The following is a 14,324-nucleotide window of genomic DNA, read 5'->3' as shown; positions in this document are numbered from 1 at the left end:
TAGGATAGTCAAATGCTAGGTTAGTCTTCTTACCTTTCTATCTAGAAAGGTTAGAAGTTTTCTAAGTCTCAGAAATTTTTCATCTTGTGGTTTTTTGAAAAGACAAATGGAAATGAAAATATTTAGAACATTCTTTCAATGAATTTTAATATTAAATATTAGAAAATATCAGTTTCTAAAATATTTATACAAACATACTACTTTGGAGAGTTTTATAAACTTTATATTTTATTCTGGAATTTTATTTAGTTAGTTTATTTGAGAGATGGGGCATTGTTCTGTTGCCCAGGCTGGAGTACGGTAGCACAGTCATAACTCACCACAGTCTCCACCTCCTGGGCTCAACTGGTCCTCCTGCTTTAGCCTCCTGAGCAGCTGGGACTATGGCATGCACCACCACACCAAGCTAATTTTTATTTTATTTTTTATAGAGATGCGATCTTGCTATATTGCCCAGGCTAGTCTTAAACTCCTGTCCTCTACTTCCCAAAGTAGTGGGGTTACAGGTGTGAGTTACTGCACCCATCCTCTATTTTTAGATTTTTAAATGTTTGGATTCACTCTAGAATTATTTTTAACCTTTAATTTCACGTCGTTTTCCAGATTGGTTATATCTATTAAGGATTACTGTTTTCCCTTATGAAGTGTTGAATTTATTTGTGTTTTTTATTATTTAGAGAAGTATAATAGACAAATATATTATTTTTGAGTTGTATCCTTTTTTTTTTTTTTTTTTTGAGATGGAGTTTTGCTCTGTTACCCAGGCTGGAGTGCAGTGGTACAATATTGGCTCACTGCAAGCGATTCTCCTGTCTTAGTCTCCTCAAGTAGCTGGGATTACTGGCATGTGCCATCACGTCCGGCTAATTTTTGTATTTTTAGTAGAGATGGGGTTTCACCATGTTGGCAGGGCTCATCTCGAACTCCCGACCTCGGGTGACCCACCCGCCTCGGCCTCCCAAAGTGCTGGGATTGCAGGCATGAGCCACTGCACCCAGCCTGAGTTGTATATTTTTGCCCTGAGCAAGTATTCTGTATTTAAATGTCATCATAAACAGTTAACTTAAATGTATTTTTATTATTAAACTTCTTGATTATTTCTTAAATTATGTGAGTTGAAATGTATAACTATTTTTTTTTTTTTTTTTTTTTTTGAGACGGAGTCTCGCTCTGTCGCCCAGGCCGGACTGCGGACTGCAGTGGCGCAATCTCGGCTCACTGCAAGCTCCGCTTCCCGGGTTCACGCCATTCTCCTGCCTCAGCCTCCCGAGTAGCTGGGACTACAGGCGCCCGCCACTGCGCCCGGCTAATTTTTTGTATTTTTAGTAGAGACGGGGTTTCACCTTGTTAGCCAGGATGGTCTCGATCTCCTGACCTCATGATCCACCCGCCTCGGCCTCCCAAAGTGCTGGGATTACAGGCGTGAGCCACCGCGCCCGGCCTATTTTTTCAAAGCCCTGAAAAAAATTGTTTTAGGGTGTATTAGATGGACTTTAGTTTTAGTATCGTGATAGTTAATAAACACCAGTAGAGGGAGCTCCAACTCATCTTTCTTGGTGAAGTTCGCACTTGAGAATGTAGGTTTGTAGAAAGGACACATTTAAACTTAAAACTTAAACAAAACATGGTTATATAAGTTTTCAAAGGTACTAAAGAATGACAATTGTAATTTTCTTTAACTTTTTGGAATAAAACAATCTCAGTTTGATTTCCATACTTTGAAGTAAACGGCCCTCAAATATAACTGCTTAAACGAAAAACTTCTACAAAGTGTAACCTCTTGCAAGTGATCCATCAAGCAAACTGAAGGCTTTTAAAATCAAGAATCTATCTGCCACTTAAGGAAGAGGATAAGGAAGAGGAGAGAAAGGAGAAGAAGTGGTTGTGGTAGTATTATTGTTTGAAATTAGATTAAGTAAAGTAAAATTGTAAATTATTGGTAGATAGTCACAATAGCAGTGTCATACGAAGGTGGATTGCTGAGTCAATGAGCAGTAATTTTATATTACTGAGAACTTTTATGCATTCAGCAGGTTTTTAAACCAAAATCTATAAAGGCTTCATTCAGAACCTTTGCTCAGATCTAGAGACCTGGTCCTAATTATTTCCTATTGGTTTCTTTATAGACCCCAGAAGAAAATATCATGTGAGACTCCTGGCTTACAACAACATAGACGATGGCTATCAGGCAGATCAGACTGTCAGCACTCCAGGATGCGTGTGTAAGTGAAAGCCATGGCAGTTTGTTTTACTATGGCTCACACCGTTCTTTCTCCTCCTCCTCCTTTAAGTTACAGTCTCACTACTACTTGGAAGCTTTGGTGGCTTAATTTCTATCCTCTGTGCTGTATAGCGTAGTTTTTTTGTTTTGTTTGTTTGTTTGTTGCCTCCCGGGTTCAAGCGATTCTCCTGCCTCAGCCTCTCGAGTAGCTGGGACTACAGGCACCACCACCACACCTGGCTAATTTTTTTTTTTTTGTATTTTTAGTAGAGACGGGGTTTTCACCATGTTGGCCAGGCTGTTCTCGAACTCCTGACCTCAAGTGATCTACCCGCCTTGGCCTCCCAAAGTGCTGGGATTACAGACGTGAGCCACCGCACCTGGCTAAAGTATCTTAAACAAATAGGTGCTCAGTAAATATTTAAGTAAGATATATTGAATTATAAGTCCTATTTTCATTTTGCATACAAAAGACCATTAGACATTTAACTGAGGAAAATAACCACTGAATATCTACATACCAAATTTTTTAAAGTCTGCTTTTCCCTCGAGGCTGTTTCTCTCCAATTGCTGTTCACTTGTACTGCTCCTAAGAAGGATGTTCTAGTCTTAAGTCCCCCACTGGTTTTCTCAGTGTCTTTGGCTAGTAGCCTGACTTCTCTGTGCTTCTGCCTTCCAATCTGTTATCAGTAATATAGTCACGCACAGCAGAATGACATTTCTGTCAACAATGGACCACATATGTGACAGTGGTCCCATAAAATTATAATGGAGGTGAAAAATTCCTATCACCTATGACATTGCTGTTACAATCTCATAGAGCAACCTGTTACCATTTCTCTGTTTGGATATGTTTGGATACACAAATACCATTGTGTTACAGTTGCCCACAGTATTTAGTACAATATCATGCTATACAGTTTTATAGCCTATGGGTGATAGGCTGTACCATAAAGCCCAGGTGTGCAGTAGGCTATACCATCTAGGTTTGTGTAACTGCACTCTGACAGCCACAGAATGATGAAATCCCCTGATGAAAAACCTAACACATTTCTTAGAATGTATGCCTGTTCTTTAGTGATGCATGACTGTTTTTGACTTCTTATATAACTCACGGAAGAGCTGTTTAGGTTTGGATGATACATCTCTAGATCACTATGAATCTCTGGTGGAAGAAAGACCTAAAATCAACTTATAGGGTGGGATATTATTATTTTACCATTTTACCACTTTCTATGTTAAAATGTTATGTCGTATCGTAAATTAACATTGTTTTTCTCAATAGCTGTTCGTGATCGCATGGTCCCTCCTCCACCACCACCCCACCATCTCTATGCGAAGGCTAACACCTCATCTTCCATCTTCCTGCACTGGAGGAGGCCTGCATTCACCGCTGCACAAATCATTAACTACACCATCCGCTGTAATCCTGTTGGCCTGCAGAATGCTTCTTTGGTTCTGTACCTTCAAACGTATGTAGCTCCTGTTAATGGTTATTTTCTTTGCTTACCTCACCACACCCCCACTCCAACTTCTACCTCTTACCATCTTGGGCCCAGCTCGGGCTTCACCTGTAAGCATTTGTTTCAGGACTTAAGTTATTTATGAAGTGGCTAGGAGTTTTGCATCCTTACCATATTCTGAAAACCATACTTTTTGACATTTAATTTATGTAAGTGATTTTTAAATTTTCCTTGCCTCATGCAACAAGATTAGGCAAGAAGCTATTATTACTCTCAAGTGATTAAACTGAGCATGTTTAAAGAAAGAAAGGAGACTATTTTCATGCTGGCAGTCAAAAAGTAGGGCCAGTTGTCTTTCTGTTTCTAGGTTAGAGTTAAGAAAGATGCCCATCACGGTGCTCTAAAAGAATGATTTTGGGGGGGCTGAGGTGGTAGGATTGCTTAAGTCAGAAGTTTAAGATCAGCCTGGGCAACATAGCCAGATCCCATCTCTCCAAAAATATTTTTTTATATCAGCCAGGTATAGTGGTGCATGCCTGTAGTCCTGGCTACTTGGGAAGCTAACACAGGAGAATTGCTTGTGCTTAGGAGATGAAGGCTGCAGTGAGCTATGATCCCACTACTGCACTCTAGCCTGAATAACACAGCAAGACCTCATCATGAATGAATGAATGAATGAATGAATGAATGAATGATTTGACTTCCAGTATTTCAGAGGAAATCCCTTTGTATTGGGACATTTCGAGTTTACTGTCAAAGAGAGGCAACTAGTAGGCTTATTTCTACAGGACAATACCAAATGTAGTATTTTTTAAAGTCCAATTAAATTGTTCTTTAGTCTAAACATTTTTTCATATAAAATAAGGAGGTAATGAAAAATAACATTATGCCCTTACCTATTTGGAAATGCTGACATTCTTTTACAAACAATATTATACTACCAGCATTAACAACTTCATCACTCGTTATTATAGATCAGAAACTCACATGTTGGTTCAAGGTCTAGAACCAAACACCAAATACGAATTTGCCGTTCGATTACATGTGGATCAGCTTTCCAGTCCTTGGAGCCCTGTAGTCTACCATTCTACTCTTCCAGAAGGTAAAGAAAACAGCTCCCTATAGATTTTATCTTTAAAAAAAATTAAGGAAATGTTTTAAAAATATGTATGTCATTCTGTGTAGGATACTACCCTAGTTGCCACCTACCACTTGATATATGTATTTGTTTTGTTTCATTTTTTGGCTTTTGAAATTTCTTTTTCCTTATTTTATTTAAATTTTTTCTTCTCAGTGTGTGTATTGTGCAAGCACGTAGGCTTAAATTTAGTGTCCTTTTAGAAACCTTAAAAAAAGATCAGGTGTGCTGTTCAAATTTGCAGCCAAAAAATTTTAAATGGCGGTAAGTGAATAATATGTTTGTTAATGATCTTAGGAGCCAACGTTATAATGAAGTTATTTCTGTATGAATAGCAGCTTGATAGTGTGCACAGTGCAATTTGTATATCGGATTGAGCACCAATTCTGTAGCTTATCTGTGGCTCTAGCTAAGATATTTTATGTCTCTAGACCAACATTTTCTTATCTCTAGAATGAGGACGAAGGACTAGATAATCTATTATATAAGCATCATTTCTGCTCTATTTTAATTATACAGAGAGAAAGTAAGGGACATTTATGACAGTGAACATAGGACTTTGTTGCTATGGTTTTGGCAATATTCCATATAAGATGTGTTAAAAACCAGCTCTTCACACTTTTAGCTTATATTAAACATGGAGTCAACTTAAATTCCAAGATTTTACTGTTTTTCACAGATATATTATTAGATGTAAGTCTGCCCTGTAAATTCACTGATTCACAATTTTTCCAGGAATAACTAAATGTTTTAATGTCAGGAGCATTTTCTTCACTGGCCTCCTAGATCAGGTTAAGTTGATGTTCTATACATGTTAGTAAGAACTATCAGTACTAATGGGGTGAAACCCAATATCTGATGGACAGGTGCTGTTTGTGGAAGTAAACATTTCTAGTTAGCAATTTAGCAAAACGTTTCAGGAACCTTAAAAATGCTATCCCGTTAACTTAGATTCTCCATCTAGGAATCTAATGTGTTTTAATGTTTGAGTATTATGAAAATACAAGAAGAAAAATGGTACTTTAGTATTATCACTAATGATCTTTGAAAGCTGTGATTTCTTATGGAGGTTTCTAATTTTTTGAACTTTTTTCTAAGCCTATAAGCCAGGTATTTGAGTATTTATGAACCATTTTACTATATTAATACAATGTTTTGTTGTGTCTGCACAGCACCAGCAGGCCCACCAGTTGGAGTAAAAGTGACATTAATAGAGGATGACACTGCCCTGGTTTCTTGGAAACCCCCTGATGGCCCAGAAACAGTTGTGACCCGCTATACTATCTTATATGCATCTAGGAAGGCCTGGATTGCAGGAGAGTGGCAGGTCTTACACCGTGAAGGTAAATATCATAAATTGCCATGAAGGGTGAAAAGTACGATTATTAATATTAAAGAAACAAAAGGAAAGGGGAATCTAGAGTTTATTTTGAATTTACATTTTTATGTATGAAGTAATAAAAGATTTTGGCTTTGTTCAAAGGGCATCGGGAAGCCATCCACCAATTTTAAGAATAGTTTGTATTTCAAAAAGGTTACTGTTACTTTTGTTAATAGAAGAGATATAGCCGGGCGCAGTGGCTCACGCCTGTAATCTCAGCACTTTGTGAGGCCGAGGCGGATAGATTACCTGAGGTCCGGAGTTCAACACCAGCCTAACCAACATGGTGAAACCCCATCTCTACTAAAAATACAAAAATTAGCTGGGTGTGATGGCAGGCGCCTGTAATCCAAGCTACTTAGGAGGCTGAGGCAGGAAATTGGCTTGAACCCAGGAGGCGGAGTTGCATTGAGCTGAGATTGCACCATTGCACTCCAGCCTGGGCAACAAGAACAAGACTCTGTCTCGGGGGGGTAAAAAAAAGAGGTTTGGTTGAGGCCAACTGGAGATTAGAGTAATGCAAATGGACTAGTTAGGAAATTACCGTAGTCGTCCAGGAAAGAGGTGATAGTCCTGGACTAGGATAGTGAGGATTAAGATGGAAAGGATAGGATGGTTGGCCGGTATTTGGGAGTTAAAATTGATAGAACTTGATAGCTTGGATGATAGAAGGGAGAGAAGATTGAGGAAGGGAGATTTGTTATGGATGAGTCTTAGGTTTCTGATAGTGTGTCTTGCAAGGAGAAGGAAACACTGGAAGGAGATATGATTGAAGGGAGAAGACCTTAGTAGTGCTAAAGGGACTAAAATGGTCCACATATGAAAAAAAAAATTGACCCGTATGAATATTAGAGTCCTCTTAAATACAGGGAAAAGCTGATTAGGGCTTAAGAACACGGAATTTAATTTTTTAAAGAGTAATTTTTTTTTAGTTGAGAAAAACTGAATTACAAAGTTTTTAGGTTTCTTACTGCATACTTTTATCATATCCTTTTCTAAATCTTGCATTTTTTTTTTTTTAAGACAGAATCTCAGCCTCCTGAGTAGCTGGGATTACAGGCATGCACACCACCACGCCCAGCCTAAATCTTGAATCTTTAAGTTGGACAAGTCACATTTGCCAGATTTTAGATGGGCCATCACATAAATAGTAAAACTTCATTATTTTGGCACTTCCTTAATTTAGACATATATTCTGAGAAGAGAGTAGTTTGCCAACCAATAAAAAGCTGAAGAAGAATTTCAGGCAGGAAATGTAGTGGCCACCTATACACTATATTCTATACACTGTACAGTACTAGGCACTCCCACATACATTGTACTTTTCAAGAGGAATATTTACCCAATTAAGAAGATAAATTTAAAAGATATTTATGTTCATGTAATATAAAACTCTTATGAGTTTTAAAATAAGCAGATGATGACTTTACCTGGAGTTTTGATCGTTGCATGTTCGTATTTTTCATTAAGCGGAAGCCCCACTAAGTAATGATTTCCTGGTCACTGAAGGGACTTGAAAGTACTAAGTATTTGGCAGCAATATGATTTTATGTTTATATCGGTTATCTATTGCTGCCTAACAAACTAATTTACAACTTAAAATAACCATTTTGTTTTCTCACAATTCTTTGAGTCAACAATTTGGACTGAAATCAGCTTGGCAGTTCTGTTGGTCTCTCACGAGGCTGCAGCCATATTACAGTTTTGATAGGCTCTGAGTAGTCTAAAAACGGCAAGACAGAGGCTGGGCGCAGTGGCTCATGCCTGTAATCCCAGCACTTTGGGAGGCTGAGGCAGACGGATCACGAGGTCAGAAGTTCAAGACCAGCCTGACCAATATGGTGAAACCCTGTCTCTACTAAAAATACAAAAATTAGGCAGGCATGGTGGCACATGCTTGTAGGCCCAACTACTCGGGAGGCTGAGACAGGAGAATTGCTTGAACCAGGGAGGCAGAGGTTGCAGTGAGCTGAGACTGTGCCACAGCACTTCAGCCTGGGTGATAGAGTGAGACTCTGTCTCAAAAAACACACACACACACACACACACACACACACCCAGAACCAACAACAGAGGGCTCCCCAGTCAGGAAGAGAAGAGAGGAAGCCCCACATACAAAGCTTTCACAAGCCTCTGCTTGCTTCACATTCGCTAATGTCTGATTGGGCAGAGTAAGCTACATGGCCAAGTCTGAAACCAGTGTTGGGAGGGCTACAGGGGTGTGAATCGATGCGGGTGTAATTCACTGGGGCCCTCAGTATTACAGTCTACCACAGTATTCTTTTTTTTTTTTGGAGACGGAGTCTCGCTCTGTTGCCCAGGCTGGAGTACAGTGGATCTTGGCTCACTGTAACCTCTTCCTCCTGGGTTCAAGTCATTCTCCTGCCTCAGCCTCCCGAGTAGCTGGGACTACAGGCACACGCCATCATGCCTGGCTAATTTTTTGTATTTTAGTAGAGACGGGTGTTTCACTGTGTTGCCCAGGCTGGTCTCGAACTCCTGAGCTCAGGCAATCTGCCCACCTCAGCCTCCCAAAGTGCTAGGATTACAGGCATGAGCCACCATGCCTGGCCTCACAGTTTTCTTAAAATGTATAATTTAGTTTCAGTCATTCAAGTCCAAAATGATTTATTGACACAGCACTTAACCAAATAACTAACCTGATTTAATGAGGTGTTGTAAGTATTAATAAAGAATTTTGATAGCATGAACACATACTTCTTTTAGTTCTTCATTTGCACCTGCCTAAAAAGAAGCAGTATAGAGCCAGGTGCAGTGGCTCACGCCTGTAATCCCAGCAGTTTGGAGGCTGAGGCAGGTGGATCCCCTGAGGTCAGGAGTTGGAGACCAGCCTGGCCAACATAGTGAAACCTCATCTCTACTAAAAATATAAAAAATTAGCCAGGCGTGGTGGCAGGCGCCTGTAATCCCAGCTACTAGGTAGGCTGAGGCAGGAGAATCACTTGAACCCAGGAGACAGAGGTTGTGGTGAACCGAGATAATGCCATTGCACTCCAGCCTGGTCAACAAGAGTGAAACACCATCTCAAAAAAAAAAAAAAAAAAAAAGCAATGTATATTTTGTTCTGGCTCCTTTTAAATGTATTCATTTGTAATTTTGGAACAGAGCTCAGAAAATAGTATTTTGTCTCATTGATGGCTCAGTAGTGAAAGGGATTACAGTTACAGATTTTTACATCTGTATAAGCCTTTCTAGCTATATAATAGTGCACAGGAAAAATATTCTCTTAGTTGTTGTGGTTTTAAGAAACATTTGTGAAAAGCTTTTGTCATTTGTTAAATGCAGAGAACTTTTTTCGTAGCTAAGGCCAATGATTCATAGAGAACAAATAAATCAGTAAAAAGCAACTGAGTTTACTTTTCTGAGAGAGAAAAACAGTTTGACTCACATTTAAACAAAAAGCAAGGAATATAACATGGCATTTAAAGAAAAATTAAAATGTCTTTTATGTATAATTATGGCAGCTTTTGGAAAAGGTACGGTATAGAAAAAGATGAAGGAAAAAAGAATAGGGAGAGTGTCAGTTTCTCATTAGGTTTATACATATTTACATATATATTTAATCCACATATTTTAATACAAATGGAACAAGGTAGTTTTTGTGAATCAAAACATTTAAAAATGTTTCTGGTGAGCATATAATACTTGTGGCTAAAATGGTACATGGTAGTACAATAGTTGAGCAGAAACATCATATGAAATTATACTTGTATGTAATTTAAAGTAAATAAAAAATTATAGGGCGTGGTGGCATGCACCTGTAGTCCCAGCTACTCGGGAGGCTGAGGCAGGAGAATCGCTTGAACTCAGGAGACAGCAGTTGCAGTGAGCCGAGATCGTGCCACTGCACTCAGTATTAAAAAAAAAAGATTACAGGCCTTTACCCTCCTCATATGCAGTAAATCAGCACAAACTGCTCAATTCTTTTTAAATCTAAAAAGCACTGGAGGAAATTATGTTCTGTCTCAGCAATTCATGAATTCTGTCCTTTATGAGTTTACTGATATCATAAAGATGCCCCTCTTTCAAAAAATTTTCATCATGGTTAAATAAGTTGGAGGAATACCATATACCTTTCCTCTTGTTAGAGATTCACACTGGAAATTAGCAATCTTGTAATAAAGGAATCCATTTAACTCAACATTTGCCAAATGAATTGGACCACCAATAGTAGGAACATTTTCTTTTACTAAACTAATTCTTACTGAGTGATGACTATGTGCCAGGCTCTATTCTAGGCACTGGCAGTACCGCAGTGACCAAAACAAAGTCCCTACCTCCACTGGAGCTTGTATCACAGGTAACAAACCAACAAATATATACATTTTCAAGTAGTGTCATAAATGCTATAAAGACAGTTACAATAGGGAAAAGAGACAAAGTGATAGAGATAGTAAAAGAGTTCCTGCGGAAGAAATGACATTCAAACATAACCCTGTGGATATCTGGGGGAGGTGCAAAGGCCCTGAGGCAGAAGTGTGCATTGGCATGTTAGAGGAACAGCAAGAAGGCCAAGGAGATTGGAGTGAGGGGAAGAGCAGGCAGTAAGAAATGAAGTAGGGAGGTAACTAAGGGCAGATGTAGACCAGATTTCATGAGCCATAGATTTTATTCTAAGAGAGAGGAAGGTATTGGAGACCTTTGATTAGGTTTACGTTGAGAAAGGATTGCTTTGGCAGCCACCTGAGAAGTAGATTGTAAGGAGGTAAGAGTGGAAGCTAGGAGACCATTTCATAGGCAGGTGTCCATGTGAGAGTTGATGAGGGCTTGGACAGGAGTGGTAATGGTGAAAGTAATAAGCTGTTGGAACATAAGTAGAAAAAAAAGCCAGTCAGATATGCTTGTAGATTGATGTGGGGCATCAGAAAAAACAGAAGCCAGATCACTGGGAGAAATCAAGGGTTTGGTTTTGAAAGTGTGAAATTTGAGATGTGTCTTAGCTGTCCATGCAGAGAGGCTGATTAAGCAGAGGCTGATTAAGTTTATGGGAGAGTTTTGGACTATAGATATATCTAGTTATCAATGTATAGGTGATGTTTAAGGCTGTGGATCTGGAAAAAAAATCACATAAGCATGTGGACAGAAGAGAGAAAAATCTGAGATTGTATCCTGGGGCACTTCTCCAACCCCAAAATCTTTTGCTTTTATAATTTGAATGGACACTATGGTCCAAATATGAAAAAAAGTTTTCTGTCTTCCAAAAGAGGAAGAAGAGGAGTCGGAGGTAAAGGAAGAAAACTCACTTTTATTTACACTTGTGTCAGATACTTGCCAATAATAGTTTATTTAATCCTTATAATAATTATATAAGGTGGGAACTATTGTCTCCGTGAGGAAAGTACAGTTCAGTAACGTGCCCCAAGTTAGAAATTGCTCGCTTGGTTACATGACGAGATTTGACCAGCACTGATGTGAATTAGCCTGTTATACTGTCTTGCTTGTAAGATTCCTAGTCTGACTGAAGATTCAGACACATATAAAAGGCAGGAGACGGAAATAATCACACTAATTAAGATTGAGAAGTCTGTTGAGAGAATATAGACAGATCACTGAGATCACTTCAGTATTTGTGAAATGCTTTGAGTGTCCTCATAGGGGAACCAGAATGTTATAGTTTCCCTTTTTTCTAAATGAAGATACTTTTTGGGGGAAAAGGGGAATGCGTGCACACATGTACTGCTGGTCCTTGTATAAAACAAATTAAGTGAAAAGACTTAGTTTCTGGTAGTGATTAGTTTTTGCCAAGTACTTTTTAAAATTAAATGCATTTTACCATAAAATGGAAACTCAATTTATTTATATCTGTTTGTGAAGACATGGAAATGTTCTTCCTTTCAGCTAAGTGTAACATGTCACAATACATCTTTGTTTTTTTAATTCCTCTGCCTAAAAACATAGCAACAGTGGAAAGACTCTTCCTGATTCTAAATAGGGGTCACTTTGTTTATTGAACAGTTGTGTACTCAAGTAGCTCACACTCTCTTCAGGCCAAGCTGAAACCAGAGAACATGAAAACAAGTTGTGTTCTGGCTCCTGGCATCGCTGCTGGAGGTTTGGCTGCCTCACACCGTGTGACCTGCAGAGATGGCCTCCGTCTCATGACCTCAGCTTTATGATCACCCCATGTTTCATTTGCCTAATGAAATATATTCCAGCAAGTGCACTGGAGTAGGTACCTTTGGCCAGGAGGCAACTGTCACAAACTATTGTAAACTCTTTGAAGCTATTGTAAGGTTGCCCTGAGTCAGGAAAAAATGAGATGAAATCAGCACAGGAAAGCTAGATTTCCCTGTGCATATCCACCCACAAACATAGTGCTGAAACAACTTTCTGGTTGAATTTCTATTACACTTTTAGCACTAGAATTAATTCCTAGGGTAGGAATTTTTTTGTAAGGGAAATACTTTGGTGCAGTGGCAGAACAAGGACAGAAAGACACCTAAGAAATGGCAGTGTCCAAATAGGAATCTTTCTTATCAGTCATGCAACAGAGAAAATACCTTTAGATATCAAATGTCATGTATAAATTCAAATGATAATTGCTTATGAAGAGAAGTAGATCTTACACAGATTGCTGGTGGTGATTTTGATAGTTTAATCTGAGACCTGTCTTCAGTACTCTGAGGTTCCTGCGTAACTGTGCATTTTCTTCCCTGTTTATCTTGAATCTGTGACAATAATTAGGCCAGGCTGGGTGCGGTGACTCACACCTGTAATCCTCGTACTTTGGGAGGCCGAGGTGGGCAGATTACTTGAGGTCAGGAGTTCAAAACCAGCCTGGCCAACATGGTGAAATCCCATCTCTATTAAAAATACAAAAGAATTGGCCGGGCGTGGTGGCTCATGCCTGTAATCCCATCACTTTGGGAGGCCGAGGCGGGCAGATCACGAGGGCAGGAGATCGAGACCATCCTGGCTAACACGGTGAAACCCTGTCTCTACTAAAAATATAAAAAATTAGCCAGGCATGGTGGCGGGCGCCTATAGTCCCAGCTACTCAGGAGGCTGAGGCGGGAGAATGGCGTGAACCTGGGCGGCGGAGCTGACAGTGAGCCAAGATCGTGCCGCTGCACTCTAGCCTGGGCGACAGAGTGAGACTCCGTCTCAAAAAAAAAAAAAAAAAAAATTAACCTGGTGTGGTGGTGGGTGCCTGTAGTCCCAGCTACTCAGGTGGGTGAGGCAGGAGAATTGCTTGAACCCAGGAGGTGGAGGTTATAGTGAGCCATGATCATGCCACTGCACTCCAGCCTGGCGACAGAGCAAGACTCCATCTCAAAAAAAAAAAAAAAAATTAGACCAGTAAAAATATATTCATGCTTTCAAAAATAATCATGTTGTTCTAATTTAGGTAGGAAGAACAGGATTACCTGTCACAGCTATTACCATAAACACTCCCAATTAAAAAAAGATTCTTGCATTGGATTTTTAAAAATCCAATTATAATCATTGAAAGCTTGGCACAGTGGAGTGGGCCCGTAGTCCCAACTACTGGGGAGCCCAGGAGTTCCAGTCCAGTCTGGGCCATGTAGCAAGACCCTGTCTCTAAAAAATAAGAGTATAATTATTGAATCTGGGTTCATTATACCATTATTTTCGTGTGCATGTTTCAAATGTTCCATAATAAAATGTCCTAAATTCTGTTTGTATTCATATCTATGTAAAGAGTAAAACATTACACACACACACACACACACACACACACACACACACACACACACACACACACACACACACATATATATATATATATACAAAGCCAAACAAAAATGTGTACTGTTTTTAAGAACTCCTAAAATAGAATTACAGAAAAGGATTATATTGGGGAAATGTACATACTACAATGTTAAGTGAAAACTCTAATATATAAAAATTCATGCAGTAAATATATATTCACAAATATTCACGTATGCACACACAAAATACACTACAATGTTAACAATGAAAGATTGTAATTTTATTTATATTTTTATTTTCTAAATGTTCTACAATATGTGTCATCTTTATAATCAGAAAAATATTTTTAAAAATAAAGGAACGTGTTTGTATAATATGAGTGAAAGAATAAAAGATAAATGTTCACTTAATTTGTAATTGATGTAT

At 38.9% G+C, this 14,324-nt stretch overlaps 1 protein-coding gene across 3 annotated transcripts in view; it reads left to right on the top strand.

Moving 5' to 3' along the window:
- PRTG (protogenin) overlaps window positions 1–14,324 on the top strand; it is a 131,609-nt gene that overhangs the window by 99,818 nt on the left and 17,467 nt on the right. For 2 of the 3 annotated variants that reach the window (NM_173814.6, XM_017022081.3), the window contains exons 12-15: window positions 2,127–2,222; window positions 3,507–3,693; window positions 4,659–4,786; window positions 5,995–6,165. In NM_173814.6, coding sequence (NP_776175.2) covers window positions 2,127–2,222; window positions 3,507–3,693; window positions 4,659–4,786; window positions 5,995–6,165 — 582 coding nt within the window. Of the gene's footprint in view, window positions 1–2,126; window positions 2,223–3,506; window positions 3,694–4,658; window positions 4,787–5,994; window positions 6,166–12,179; window positions 14,302–14,324 lie in introns of those variants that run through there. The other variant, XM_017022082.3, reaches the window with a different exon arrangement.

The sequence above is a fragment of the Homo sapiens genome, chromosome 15 (assembly GCF_000001405.40).
Source record: "Homo sapiens chromosome 15, GRCh38.p14 Primary Assembly".
NCBI classification, from domain to species: Eukaryota; Metazoa; Chordata; class Mammalia; order Primates; family Hominidae; genus Homo; species Homo sapiens.
The sequence above is the reverse complement of the archived record's forward strand: the minus strand, read 5'-3'. Positions and strand labels throughout refer to the sequence as shown.